At 36.9% G+C, this 15,687-nt stretch overlaps 1 long non-coding RNA gene across 2 annotated transcripts in view; it reads left to right on the forward strand.

Moving 5' to 3' along the window:
• Positions 1 to 15,687, forward strand: part of LOC105374511 (uncharacterized) — a 482,145-nt gene that overhangs the window by 406,391 nt on the left and 60,067 nt on the right. The window lies entirely within an intron of this gene.

Raw genomic sequence — 15,687 nt, forward strand, 5'->3', positions numbered from 1 at the left:
ATCTGATTGACCTATGTCCATCTGAAACTTCTTTCACTATGGAAGAAGGGGGAGAATGGATATTAGAAGAAAATAAATAATACCTGTCACAACTGTTTAACAGGCTTATTGTAGTAGACAGATTAACGGCCCCCAAAGATGTATACATTCTAGATCTGGGAACATGAAAATATGTTACTTTCCATGGGGAAAGGTACTTTGCAGATATGATTAAATTAAGGATCATGAGATGAGAGTTATCCTAAATTATACAGCTGGTCCTGATGCAATCACAAGGGCCTTTATAAGAGAGAATCAGAAGGCCAAAGTTAATGTAGGAACTGTGGTGGCAGAAGCAAGATTTTAAGCATCCCGGTGGGTATGAAGTGTTTGTTATCTCATTGTGGTTTTGATTTGCCTTTCCATGATGACCCAATGATGTCAAGCATCATTTATGTACTTATTGGCTATTTGTATATCTTCCTGGGACAAATCCCTGTTTATTTATATCACTCGCCCATTTTGAAAATGGGGTTTCTTTTATTATTGAATTGTAAGATTTTTTTTTTTACATATTCTAGATACAAGTTCCTTATGTGGCTTACAAATTTCTTCCCATTCTTTGTGTTATCTTTTCACTTTCATGATAGTTTCCCCTAAATGGTAAAGGTTTTTAATTATGATGAAGTCTAATTTACCTATTTTTATCTTCTTCATGCTTTAGTGTCATATCTAAGAACATTTTGCCAAATCTAAGATACTGAAATGTAGTCCATGGTCTCTTCTAAGAGTTTTATAGGTTCAGCTCTTGCATTTTGGTATTGAATGTATTTCTATTTAATTTTGCATATGGTGAGACATAATGTCCAACTTCATTATTCTGCAATATGGTTATCCAGTTGTCCAAGAGTCATTTGTTTAAAAGAATATCATTTCGCATTGAATGTTCTTCATGCCCCTTTCAAAAATCTGTCGACTCTGAATACATGGGTTTATTTCTGGACTTTCCATTATTTTTTATTTTTTTAATTATACTTTAAGTTCTAGGGTACATGTGCACAATGTGCAGGTTTGTTACATATGTATACATGTGCCATGTTGGTGTGCTGCACCCACTAACTCGTCATTTACAGTGGGTATATCTCCTAATGCTATCCCTCCCCCCTCCCCCTGCCCCAGGACAGGCCCTGGTGTGTGATGTTTCCCTCCCTGTGTCCAAGTGTTCTTATTGTTCAATTCCCTCATATGAGTGAGAACATGCGGTATTTGGTTTTCTGTCCTTCTGATAGTTTGCTGAGAATGATGGTTTCCAGCTTCATCCATGTCCCTACAAAGGACATGAACTCATCATTTTTTATGGCTGCATAGTATTCCATGATGTGTATGTGCCACATTTTCTTAATCCAGTCTATCATTGATGGACATTTAGGTTGGTTCCAAGTCTTTGCTATTGTGAATAGTGCCGCAATGAACATACGTGTGCATGTGTCTTTATAGTAGCATGATTTGTGATCCTTTGGGTATATGCCCAGTAATGGGATTGCTGGGTCAAATGGTATTTCTAGCTTTAGATCTCTGAGGAATTGCCACACTGTCTTCCACAATGGTTGAAATAGTTTACACTCCCACCAACAGTGTAAAAGAGTTCCTATTTCTCCACATCCTCTCCAGCATCTGTTGTTTCCTGACTTTTTAATTATCGTCATTCTAACTGGTGTGAGATGCTATTTAATTGTGGTTTTGATTTACATTTCTCTGATAGCCAGTGATGATGAGCATTTTTTCATGTGTCTGTTGGCTGCATAAATGTCTTCTTTTGAGAAGTGTCTGCTCATATCCTTTGCCCACTTTTTGATGGTGTTGTTTGATTTTTTTCCTGAAAATTTGTTTGAGTTCATTGTAGATTCTGGATATTAGCCCTTTGTCAGATGGGTAGATTGTAAAAATTTTCTCCCATTCTGTAGGTTGCTTGTTCATTCTGATGGTAGTTTCTTTTGCTGTGCAGAAGCTCTTTAGTTTAATTAGATCCCATTTGTCAATTTTGGCTTTTGTTGCCATTGCTTTTGGTGTTTTCGTCACGAAGTCCTTGCCCATGCCTATGTGCTGAATGGTATTGCCTAGGTATTATTCTAGGATTTTTATGGTTTCAGGTCTAACATTTAAGTCTTTAACCCATCTTGAATTAATTTTTGTATAAGGTGTAAAGAAGGGATCCAGTTTCAGCTTTCTACATATGGCTAGCCAGTTTTCCCAGCACCATTTATTAAATAGGGAGTCCTTTCTCCAATTCTTGTTTTTGTCAGGTTTGTCAAAGATCAGATGGTTGTAGACGTATGTTTGTTATTTCTAAGGCCTGTGTTCTGTTCCATTGATCTATATCTCTGTTTTGGTACCAGTACCATGCTGTTTTGGTTACTGTAGCCTTCTAGTATAGTTTGAAGTCAGGTAGCATGATGCCTCCAGCTTTGTTCTTTTTGCTTAGGATTGTCTTGGCAATGCTGGCTCTTTTTTGGTTCCATATGAACTTTAAAGTAGTTTTTTTTTCCAATTCTGTGAAGAAAGTCATTGGTAGCTTGATGGGGATGGCATTGAAACTATAAATTACCTTAGGCAGGATGGCCATTTTCACGATATTGACTCTTCCTATCCATGAGCATGGAGGGTTCTTCCATTTGTTTGTGTCTTCTTTTGGTTTGTTGAGCAGTGGTTTGTAGTTGTCCTTGAAGAAGTCCTTCACATCCCTCGTAAGTTTTATTCCTATTTTATTCTCTTTGTAGCAATTGTGAATGAGAGCTCACTCATAATTTGGCTGTCTGTTATTGGTGTATAGGAATGCTTGTGATTTTTGCACATTGATTTTGTATCCTGAGAATTTGCTGAAGTTGCTTATCAGCTTAAGGAGATTTTGGGCTGAGATGATGTCTAAATATACAATCATGTCGTCTGCAAACAGAGTCAGTTTGATTTCCTCTTTTCCTAATTGAATACCCTTTATTTATTTCTCTTGCCTGATTGCCCTGGCCAGAACGTCCAATACTATGTTGAATAGGAGTGGTGAGACAGGGCATCCTTGTCTTGTGCCAGTTTTGAAAGGGAATGCTTCCAGTTTTTGCCCATTCAGTTTGATATTCACTGTGGGTTTGTCATAAGTAGCTCTTATTATTTTGAGGTAGGTTCCATCAATGCCTAGTTTATTGAGAGTTTTTAGCATGAAGGGCTGTTGAATTACGTCAAAGGCCTTTTCTGCATCTATTGAGATAGTCATGTGGTTTTTGTCATTGGTTCTGTTTATGTGATGGATTATGTTTATTGATTTGCCTATGTTGAACCAGCCTTGCATCCCAGGGATGAAGCCCACTTGATCCTGGTGGATAGTTTTTTGATGTGCTACTGGATTTGGTTTGCCAGTATTTTATTAAGGATTTTTGCATCAATGTTCATCAGGGATATTGGTCTAAAATTCTCATTTTTTGTTGTGGCTCTGCCAGGCTTTGGTATCAGGATGATGCTGGCCTCATAAAATGAGTTAGGGAGGATTCCCTCTTCTTTTATTGATTGGAATAGTTTCAGAAGGAATGCTACCAGCTTCTCCTTGTACCTCTGGTAGAACTCAGCTATGAGTCCGTCTGGTCAGTAGGCTATTAATTATTATTAGCCTATATTAATTAATAGCCTATATTAATTAATAGCCTATATTAATTATCTCAAGTTCAGAGCTTGTTATTGGTTTATTCAGAGACTCCACTTCTTCCTGGTTTAGTCTTGGGAGGTGTATGTGTCCAGAAATTCATTCATTTCTTCTAGATTTTCTAGTTTATTTGCGTAGAGGTGTTTATAGTATTCTCTGATGGTAGTTTGTATTTCTGTGGGATCAGTGGTGATATCTTTATCATTTTTTATTGCGTCTATTTGATTCTTCTCTCTTTTCTTTTTGTTAGTCTTGCTAGCGGTCTATCAATTTTGTTGATCTTTTCAAAAAACCAGCTCCTGGATTCATTGATTTTTTGAAGGGTTTTTTGTGTCTCTATCTCTTTCAGTTCTTCTCTGATCTTAGTTATTTCTTGACTTCTGCTAGCTTTTGAATGTGTTTGCTCTTGCTTCTGTAGTTCTTTTAATTGTGCTGTTATGGTGTCAATTTTAGATCTTTCCTGCTTTCTCTTGTGGGGATTTAGTGCTATAAATTTCCCTCTACACACGGCTTTAAATGTGTCCCAGAGATTCTGGTACCTTGTGTCTTTGTTCTCATTGGTTTCAAAGAACATCTTTATTTCTGCCTACATTTCGTTACCTCCCCAGTAGTCATTCAGGAGCAGATTGTTCAGTTTCCATGCAGTTGTGTGGTTTTGAGTGAGTTTCTTAATCCTGAGTTCTAATTTGATTGCACTGTGGTCTGAGAGACAGTTTGTTGCTATTTCTGTTCTTTTACATTTGCTGAGGAGTGCTTTACTTCCAACTATGTGGTCAATTTTGGAATAAGTGTGATGCGGTGCTGAGAAGAATGTATATTCTGTTGATTTGTGGTGGAGAGTTTTGTAGATGTCTATTAGATCCGCTTGGTGCAGCTGAGTTTAATTCCTGGATATCCTTGTTAACCTTCTGTCTCATTGATCTGTCTAATATTGACAGTGGGGTGTTAAAGTCTCCCATTATTATTGTGTGGGAGTCTAAGTCTCTTTGTAGGTCTCTTGCTTTATGAATCTGGGTGCTCCTGTATTGGGTGCATATATATTTAGGATAGTTAGCTCTTCTTGTTGAATTGATCCCTTTACCATTATGTAACGACTTTCTTTGTCTCTTTTGATCTTTGTTGCTTTAAATTCTGTTTTATCACAGACTGGGATTGCAATCCCTGTCTTTTTTGCTTTCCCTTTGCTTGGTAGATCTTCCTCCATCCCTTTATTTTGAGCCTATGTGTGCCTGTGCACATGAGATGGGTCTCCTGAATACAGCACACTGATGTGTCTTGACTCTTCATCCAATTTGCCAGTCTGTATCTTTTAATTGGGGCATTTAGCCAATTTACATTTAAGGTGAATATTGTTATGTGTGAATTCGATCCTGTCATTATGATGTTAGCTGGTTATTTTGCCTGTTAATTGATGCAGTTTCTTCATAGTATCAATGGTCTTTACAATTTGGCATGTTTTTGCAGTGGCTCATACCGGTTGTTCCTTTCCATGTTTAGTGCTTCCTTCAGGAGCTCTTGTAAGGCAGGCCTGGTGTTGACATAATCTCTCAGCATTTGCTTGTCTGTAAAGGATTTTATTTCTCCTTCACTTATGAAGCTTAGTTTGGCTGGATATGAAACTCTGGGTTGAAAATTCTTTTCTTTGAGAATGTTGAATGTTGGCCCTCATTCTCTTCTGGCTTGTAGAGTTTTTGCCTAGAGATCTGCTGCTAGTTTGATGGGCTTCACTTTGTGGGTAATCTAACCTTTTTCTCTGGCTGCCCTTAACATTTTTTCCTTCATTTCAACCTTGGTGAATCTGACGATTATTTGTCTTGGGGTTGCTCTTCTCGAGGAATATCTTTCTGGTGTTCTGTGTTTTTCCTGAATATGAATGTTGGCCTGCCTTGCTAGGTTGGGGAAGTTCTCCTGGATAATATCCTGAAGAGTGTTTTCCAACTTGATTTCATTCTCCCCATCACCTTCAGGTACACCAATCAGACGTAGATTTGGTTTTTTCACATAGTCCCATATTTCTTGGAGGATTTGTTCATTTCTTTTTACTCTTTTTTCTTTAAACTTCTCTTCTTGTTTTATTTCATTAATTTGATCTTCAGTCACTGATACCCTTTCTTCCACTTGATCAAATCGGCTACTAAAGCTTGTGAATGCATCACGTAGTTCTTGTGCCATGGTTTTCAGCTCCATCAAGTCATTTAAGGTCTTCTCCAAACTGTTTATTCTAGTTAGCCATTCATCTAATCTTTTTTCAAGATTTTTAGCTTCCTTGCGATGGGTTCGAACATCCTTCTTTAGCTCGCAGAAGTTCATTATTACAAACCTTCTGAAGCCTACTTCTGTCGACTTGTCAGTCATTCTCCAACCAGTTTTGTTCTCTTGCTGGTGAGCAGCTGCGATCCTTTGGAAAAGAGGCACTCTTATTTTTAGAATTTTCTGCTTTTCTGCTCTAGTTTCTCCCCATCTTTGTTGTTTTATCTCCCGTTGGTCTTTGATGTTGGTGACCTACAGATGGGGTTTTTGTGTGGATGCCTTTTTTGTTGATGTTGATGCTATTCCTTTCTGTTTGTTAGTTTTCCTTCTAACAGTCAGGTCCCTCAGCTGCAGGTCTGTTGGCATTTGCTATAGTCCACTCCAGACCTGTTTGCCTGGGTATAACCAGCAGAGGCTGCAGAACAGCAAATATTGCAGAACAGCAAATTTGGCTGCCTGATCCTTCCTCTGGAAGCTTTGTCCCAGAGGGTCACCTGCCTGTGTGAGGTGTCAGTCAGCCCCCACTGGGAAGTGTCTGCCAGTTAGGCTATACAGGGGTCAGGGACCCACTTGAGGAGGCAGTCTGTCTGTTCTCAGAGCTCAAACACTGTGCTGGAGGAACCACTGCTCTCTTCAGAGCTGTCAGATAGGGACATTTAAGTCTGCAGAAGTTTCTACTGTCTTTTGTTCAGCTATGCTCTGCCCCCAGAGGAGGAGTCTATAGAGGCAGGAAGCCTTGCAGCACTACAGTGGGCTCCGACCAGATCGAGCTTCCCAGCCACTTTGTCTACCTACTCAATCCTCAGCAATAGCGAATACCCCTCCACCTGCCAGGCTGCTGCCTCACAGGTCTATCTCAGACTGTTGTGCTAGCAGGGAGTGAGAATCCTTGGGTGTGGGACCTGCCAAGCCACGCATGGGATATAATCTCCTGGTGCACTGTTTGCTAAGACCTTTGGAAAAGTGCAGTATTTAAGCGGGAGTGTCCCATTCTTCAAGGTACAGTCTGTCACAGCTTCCCTTGGCTAGGAAAGGGAAATCCCCTGACCCCTTGCCCCTCCCGGGTGAGGCAATGTCCCAACCTGCTTCGGCTCACCCTCCATGGGCTGCACCCACTATCCAACCAGTCCCAGTGAGATGAACCAGGTACCTCAGTTGGAAATGCAGAAATCACCCAGCTTCTGCATTGATCATGCTGGGAGCTGCAGACTGGAGCTGTTTCTATTCTGCCATCTTGGAACAGGACTCTTCTCCATTATTTTTTTATTCACCTATATGTTTATCCTTATACCCTACCACAATGTCTTGGTTACTGTTGCTTTGTAGTAAATTTTGAAGTTGAGAAGTGTCAGTGCTCCTACTTTTTTCTTCCTCAAGATTGTTTTGGCTATTCAGGGTTTTTATAATTTCATTTAAATTTTAGATTAAGCTTGTCAATTTCTACAGAAAATTTCTGGGATTCCTACAGTAAATTTGTGGAATCTCTAGATCAGTTTGAGGGATATTGTAATCTTAATAATGTTATTTTTTTCAGTCTATGTATAAGAAACAATTTTCCATTGATTTAGATCTTTTTAAATTTCCTTAAACACTGTTTTGTAGTTTTCAGAGTATAAGTTTTGCACTTCCTTTGTTAAATTTATTTTTGATTTTTTTATGCTATTTTAAAGGAAGTTGATTTGGTAATTTTGTTTTTGCATTGTTCATCCCAAGTGTATAAATATACAATGTATTTTTCTGTATTGATCTTATATCCTCCCACCTTCCTGAATTTGTTATTACTTCTAAGAGTTTTTTAGTGGATTCTTTGTCCATGTACAAGATCACACCACCTACAAACAGAAATAGTTTTACTTATTTTTATTGTTTTGGCTCTTCTTAATTTCTTTTACTTTCAGACCACCTTGCTTAGAACCTAGAGTGCACTGCTCAATAGAAGTGCTGATAGTAAAAATTATTGCCTTGTTCCTGATCTTAGGGAGAAAGGATTCAGTCTTTCACCATTAAGTATGATGTCAGCTTTACATTTTTGTAGCTACCGTTCATCAAGTGAAAAGTTGCAATCTATTCCTAGTTTATTGACTGTTTTTATCATAAAAGTTTTTTTGATTTTTCTTCATCTATTAAAATGACCATGTGTTGATTAAATTATTTGACATGATATATTACACCAATTGGTTGCATATATAATTGCTGCATGTAAATTTTAGGGTTGATATTTCTTTTCTTTTGCTGAAATATAAAAAGTATTATGTCACTTTCTTCTGATATCCGTGGTTTCAGATGAAAAATCTTGTGTCATTATCCCTTCTTTCCCTCACCCTAAATAAAAATAAAAAAGAAAACAGATAATGCACTAATTCCTACCCATCCTGCAATAACCAAATCAATTGTTTCTTCTTTTTACATCTTTGTATATTCTTTAAGGACCTTATTTTTATTTCCAAATGATTTTTTAATATGTAGTATTTTTGCTTATCCCTGCTAGTCTCTGAATTTCATGAAGACATTAACTCTATATAATGCAATTTTATACCTCAACATCTAGGACAGTGTATTATAAGTAGTAGATATTGGTTACTTACCAAATTAAGTAAAATTATTCTACAGTCTCTTCTCTCTGAGTGAAACATTAATTTGTTTTTAAGAGGCTTAATTTCATTTTAGGCTCAACATCTGTCCATATAAACACATTTCTTAAATTTCATTGGAATAAATAATCAGTTTTGAAATACAAATGTTCTCTCTTCACACTCCTTTAAGGAGCATGAAGTAAATAGCACAACTATATTTCTTTGCTATAAAATGAAGAATGCTGTTCTTGAAATTAGTAGCACCGTGAATTGCAATTTTCATTCAGAAATTATGAACAAATCTATTTTATTTTTTTAAAAGACAGTGTTTTCCCCAGAAAAACACAGATCCATGCTTTACTCTGTTTCATTCAAATATATGGCTGTAAATCAGGCATCAAGTGGAATGCGTGAAATCTTGGTGTGTAGAAGCACTTTTGCATAACCAAAAATTGAGATCAATGAAGCTAATCTGAAATCCCATTGACAAATCTGTTGTGCATTTAATAACTTTTTTCACCTAGAGAAGCAAAAATAAATCATAGGATTTATTATATGCTACAGAATGATACACATCTAAGTGTTGAATAAAACCTCCAGAGAGCCATCAGTTTATTTAAAGAGAACTTGGAAATGCAAGAGAGATCCCTCTGTCAAAGGAAGTTCTTAATATATGGTTCCTGCCAGTGTGCTGGGTTTGTTAACAAGCTTCTGTACCAATACACAAGGCTACAAGCTTTTCTTAGGACACTGCCTACAATGTTTGTTCAAGAACGTCTATTTTGAAGCAGCATACCACACTTTTTAAGCCTTCTTTTCTATACACACACACACACACACGCACAAACATAGACACACACAATCCTCTTTGTTTTAAAATTATGTTAACAACAAAAGTTTGTATTACATTCACAGTATGAGCCTCTTTATTCCAAAATTTTAAGAAATCTGGAACATTAATTATGCAGCATTTCAATACAGGGCATGTAATTCTGGGTGTGTGACAAATTCATTCACTTCATTGACCATCAGAGAGGGTTTTGAATGAATTTGTGTCAATATTTCTTTCTTTGGGAATTAAAGTTTGTGATTATGAATGTCAACTCCTAATATTTTCTTAAAGTCACTCAAAACCACTTTATTGAGTACACATCCTACATTATTAACTAGAGCAGTAGATCCTAGACCTGGAAACACATTGGAATTCTATGAGGAACTTTTTGAAAATGAACTCACTTCGAAACCACTGAATCAAAATCTCAGGGTGAAGGAAAGAATAAAATCAGGATTCTACCAGCCCTGCAAGTTTGGGAACCAGTGCACCAAGCACTCTGTCAAATCTATTAGAGGCTATGAAGTTGTATGAGTTAAAATTCTTCAAGTTAAAGGAAAACCTAATTCAAACTGAATTTCAAGTGAATGGAAACAATGGTTTAAAGCTGGCTCTTAAACTTGGAAGACATAATAAATGGTTATTTTTTAGCCATTGAATTTTGAGGTGGCTTCTAAGGAGCATCATTTGTGGCAAGAGATAATTGGTGCAACTATAGTCAGAATCGCTGCATGAAGCTGAGCCCTGCACAATCATAAATGAAGGCTGAACCTGTGGCTGGGGCAACCTGTGGCTGGCGCAATGTCATGGGCCAATTGGCTTAAGTCCATTTACTTGAAGTAAATACTGTGTTGATGAGGATAGTAATACTAGAACCAGCCGGGAACTTTCTCTGGAGCTGGGATGCTGCACAATGGGAGAGGGCAGGATGGGTTTAGGAAAGACTTTGGGTGATTCAAAAGGAGTGAAAAGCATGAAACTATCAATCCAGTTGCAAGGCTATACTAACATATATGGAATAAAATCTTACAATAATAGCATAAGAAACTAGATTGTGGTGAAATTGCACAATGTAGACTATAAATATAGTAGAAATTCAAAGATAAAGGAATAAATGAGAACTGGAGACATCAACACAGGTTTCACTGGGAAGGTAGAGTTATAATTATACTTTGAAAGATGGGCTAGGTGTGATAAAGTAGGAAGAGAAATTCTTAGTGATCTCTTTAGGACAAAGGCCAAAAGCTCTTTAACACTATGAATGGAAGATTGTTTCTGTATTTGAGGTCAGTGCATGCAGAAAGATTATTTAGGGTTACTACAATTTTTTAAATTAATATTCAATGTATTAAAGCTATAAATTCAAAGGCTTAGTTTTTATAAAGCATTTAGATTTAATTTACAAACATGTGATTCTATTTATAAATTCAGTAAATTAAGTATGACTTTTAAGAGAGATATTACAGCTTAGTTAATTAAATTTTGTTAAATATTTTAAACAGCATTTATACACTTAATATATTTGATTTTCTTTTATATGCAATTCAACTATCTGAATACCAAACGAATATGCCCCAAGAACTTAACTGATTCCTATAAACCTAATAAATTAGAGATATAAATACAGTAAATCTTAAATGATCTTACATATTCTAATATTATTTGCAAAACCTTGAAGAATTATTTTAACTTAAAATTATAAGCTTAAGACAATTATTCAAGTACATATTTTAAACTAGAATCATAAGATTTGTCTGGTAGATCAGTGCAATTGTTTGAATATGTTCCCCAAATTCATGTGTTGAAAACTAAATTGCAACTGCAACAAAGTAGAGAGGTGGGGTCTTTAAGTGGTGATTAGGTCATGAGGGCAGAACGCTCATGAATGGGTTAATGCCATTATTGAGGGAGTGGTTAAGTTATCTTGGAAATCAGCTCCTGAAAAATGATGAGTTAGGCCCTCTCTTTCCCTCTCATTCATGTGGTGCCTTCTGCCATATATGACTCAAGAAGGACCTCACCAAATGTAGCCCCTTGATTTTGGACTTCCCAGCCTCTGGAATCATGAATCAAATAAATTTTTTTTCATGATAAATTACCCAGTCTGTGTTATTCTGTTTTACCAGCACAACACAGACTAAGACAATCAACAATCATTAACTAGAGGTAGTATTTCTGCCTCCCTGGGGGTTGGGGGAGCTTTTGATGTGTGAGCAGGTACTTTGGTTGTCACAATGCCCAGGGACTACTATAGGCATTTAGAGGGTGGTGATTAAGAATGTTAACAGTCCTGCAATATATGAGAGCCAAAAGCATGCCCCTTGAGTATATTAGATAATGATGTAGTTTTGATTCTTCCAGAAGCTGACCCTGACATGATTCAAAAGTAAGTAATCTATGTGGGAATAAAGGAAACACTGATTGGTAAATGAGAAGCAAGACAGGAAAGGAAAAAGATCAATAAAGTGTGCTTTACCAAGCAAGTTACCACTGAGGGCAATAAGGACATAATGCAACTGAGGAAGCTTTAAGAGTAAATGTAAATTTATGTCAATGTCTGAGTTATCTTGCCATAGTTGTGAGAAAACTAGGGTAGTGATGCACCAATTTCCATCAGTAATTGACTGAGGACTGCTTCAGTGGGTAAGTCTCCTGCACTTTAGCCAAAGCAAAGAGGATCCTTGCAGCCAGAGAAATTCTCTAAGGCCAGAAAAAAAATAAATGTTTTCTACTTTCAGGGGGTGTTGCAAGCACACGGAACAGACATCAAATAACTTTAATTTGGGGATTTAATCAATTGACTCCTTAATTCCCCTTGAGTATAGGTATGAAAATCCAAAGGAGGCTGGTAATTTCAGCTTTGAGGCTTCAGAGAATCCGATCAGCAAGAATTTGATCCTCCTTTGCTTTCTGGAGGTAAACTATGGTTGCTTTGAACTACCGAATCCTAGAAAATTGGACAAAATAAGAATAGAAAGGCAATGTTGGTTTCAGTCTTCAAGAAGTCACTTCAACTCATTGGTAGCTGTCTTGTTGTGTTTGCTGGTGGATGGTGAGAGATTTCACACTCCTCATTCTCAAACAGTGCTTTGAAAAGACTCTAAGATTTGAGTCCCATGGGAAAGTCTATCAAAGGAAAAATGGAACTGAGTTGAAATTAAAAATGTTAAGCAATGTTTCCTAATGACTGTGCCCATGAAAGTATTTCATGGGGGTACATGAATAGTCTGAAATTATGTGTCAACTTTTGTGCATGTGTATATCTTCCTGGAGAGAGAATCCACAGCTTTCATTAGTTTCTCTAATGAGATATTGTCATTCATAGGAAAAGAATAAGCATTTATTTAATATGAGAAAACCAGTAGTAGAGGAGGAGAGAGTAGGAAGGTAGAGAAAATAACCAAGATTCATAAATATCAAGTATTAATTGAATCATAAAGCCTCATAAGAACACTGGTTTGATGACGAAGAGCTAAGACTTTGAAAGATTAGATTTTCATATTCAAGGACACAATGGGCAAGTGGTGCTGCTGACAGTCCAACTCCAATGCTCTTCTAACTCTAAAGCTTGTGCCATCTCTATCATGCATGCTGTTGTATCCAGAGGGTTCTGGAGTGAGGCCTTTGAATGTGTAATTACTTTTAATAGTCAGGAGAGAGAAGGAGCCCAATTTTACCTAAATTAAAATGATCCAGGTGAAACTTGAAATGCAGACTGTTTTAATATGGCTATCCCCTCTACAATCCACAAATGTCAGCCTCATGGCTTCAGTGACTACCGAGACTGTACCTGGAATGATGGATTCTGACATTAAGTTTCTTCATTGCCATGGAGAAAGAAGAAATGAAAGCTATAACCCATCCCTGGGCAATTAAACTAAACTCACTAGAATTACCCTGAAATTATCAACATATGGTAGTTTTTAAAATTTAAATTGAAGTTCATCTCAGTAGGGTAAGAAGTTTTAAAGTTCCAAATTGTTATATAGTAAGCTTAGAAATCTTACCTCCTCACAATCTTATTTTTTCCTTCATGATTCCCGTAATATTTTACCAGAGGGATATTAGAGATCTCCTCATTGCTAAATCTAATAACTCATGTTTCAAATATTTTAACTATTATTTTCTATACAGAAATACTACATTTTTATTGTAATCAATTTAGAAAACACAGATAAAGAAAATAAAAACCATACAGGCCACACAAATAATGCCAAATCCTGCCTTATAACACATAAACTGTGAGCCATTTGGTACCCAGAATACTTTATGTTGAGATGGCAGAGAAAGATACGATTTTTAAATAAATATTATAGAGACTAAAATATGCATATATCCGGGGAGTTCATAGGGTCCCCACCCCCACCATGTTGTCTCATGGAGATAATGCACAAAGAGGCAGAATAGGAGATACCAAAAGTGAGATTGGTTTCCATCAAGGAAGGGCAGAGAAGAAGACGTAGAAAAAGATTGAGTCCTGGAAGGCAGAAAAGGGAGACTAGCATAGGATGAATCATGGGGCAACTTTTCCAGGGTCTTGTAACTGAGACTAAAAATTAAAGAGTCTGTTTATACTTTCTTTCATTTCTTGTACCTTCAACAAATTTGAGTCTACTCTGCACCGTGCAAGGTCCCAGGGCAACAGAGATGGGAAAGACCTGCCCTCAGGATGCTGATAGCCTAATGAGAAACCTACATGCACGTCAACAAGCAATTCCAAAGTAGTGTGATATGTCCCTTGATAAGGGTAAGCATGGGATACCAGAGGGCAGAAGAACCCAATCTAGATTGGGTCCTGGGAGAGGTTAAGCTCAGAGGAAACTTTCTAAAGGTGCTCACAGGTAGCCAGGAACAGCAGGACAAATAGAAGTTAGTCAGACAAGGGGCACCAGGAAGACTTGTCAGTGGAAGAGGTTCTATTAAAAACAGCATGGTCTTACAAAAATGGCAAGTCAGTGGGCTCATATTTATACAAGATGCAGGAGCCTAAAGGAGACAGAAGCTTGGTAATATTTTCCTGCCCTCTTCACACAAACATACACATATAGTGTGAATATATATTACATATGGATGTCCAGATAACTATTCTCAATAACAATATGTTTAGTTCATCATAAACATATTGAAATATAATTACGACAAAAAGAAGCAAAGAGTAAAATTTAAAGCCAGGCAGATTTCAGGAGGCACACAAAAAAGAACTCTATTACTGCATTCTTGCATTACTATAAAGAAATGGCTGAGACTGGGTAATTTATAAATAAAATGGGTTTAATTGGCTTACAGTTTTGCAGGCTGTACAGAAAGCATGATGCTGGCATCCGATTCATTTATGGGGAAGCCTCAAGAAGCTTATAATCATGGTGAAAGATGAAGGGAGAGTAGGCATGTAACATTGTCAGAGCAGAAGCAAGACAGAGAAGCAGGAGGTGCCACACACTTTTAAATGACCGAATCTTGCAGGAACTCACTCACTATGGTGAGGACAGTACCAAAAGGATGGAACTAACCCAGTCCAATCGCCTCCCACCAGGTCACACCTCCAATATCAGGGATGACATTTGAACATGAGGTTTGGACAGGGAAAATATCCAAACTATATCAAGCACAATTCTACTAGGACAGTTATCAACAAACAAAAAAAATCAAAGAAAGGAAGAAAAGTGGGAGGGAGGAAGGGGAGAGAGGAACAGAAAGAGGGGAGAAGATGTACAACTTGAAAAAGCAAAGGGTTCTCAATCACTGGATGTATTTTAATGCAGGAAATTATTGCACTAGGCAACATTTACACTATGTAATGTTAAACATATCTTCCTTCCCAGCATTCTACGATTTTATGATTTAGGGTCAAATTAATGACAATAATATTTCTGGGATGTGGGATCTTTATTTTACAATTAAAAATACTATAAAATTATTTCAAAGCCTTTTCTTGCCTCCTAATTAAACATTTAAGACTACAATAAGTACAGAAAGATATATTAAAATATGCTACATTAAGAAACTCAAGTGATTACTCATTTTATGTTAATTATTATCCTTCATTTATTATTTCTGATGCAGTGCCTTGCACAGAGTAGGTTTTCAATAAATCTATTGACTTTTGATTTCTTCACAACAGGCTTTCTTACGTAAAAAGTACCCACATCCATTTTGGTAACTATTTTAAATGGATCCCTATTTGACAAAACATGTACCCAACAAAAAAATCACCATAAACAAAGGAAGAATGAAAGTTACAAATTGGAAAAACAAAAGTTTGTCCAAATTACAAAGAAATAGGATTGATATTCAGAATACTTCAAAATCTTATATAGATTGATGTTTAAAAATAGAAAGGCTGAGCAAAGAATATAAACAGAAAT

This window comes from Homo sapiens, chromosome 4 (assembly GCF_000001405.40).
Source record: "Homo sapiens chromosome 4, GRCh38.p14 Primary Assembly".
Classification (NCBI taxonomy): Eukaryota; Metazoa; Chordata; class Mammalia; order Primates; family Hominidae; genus Homo; species Homo sapiens.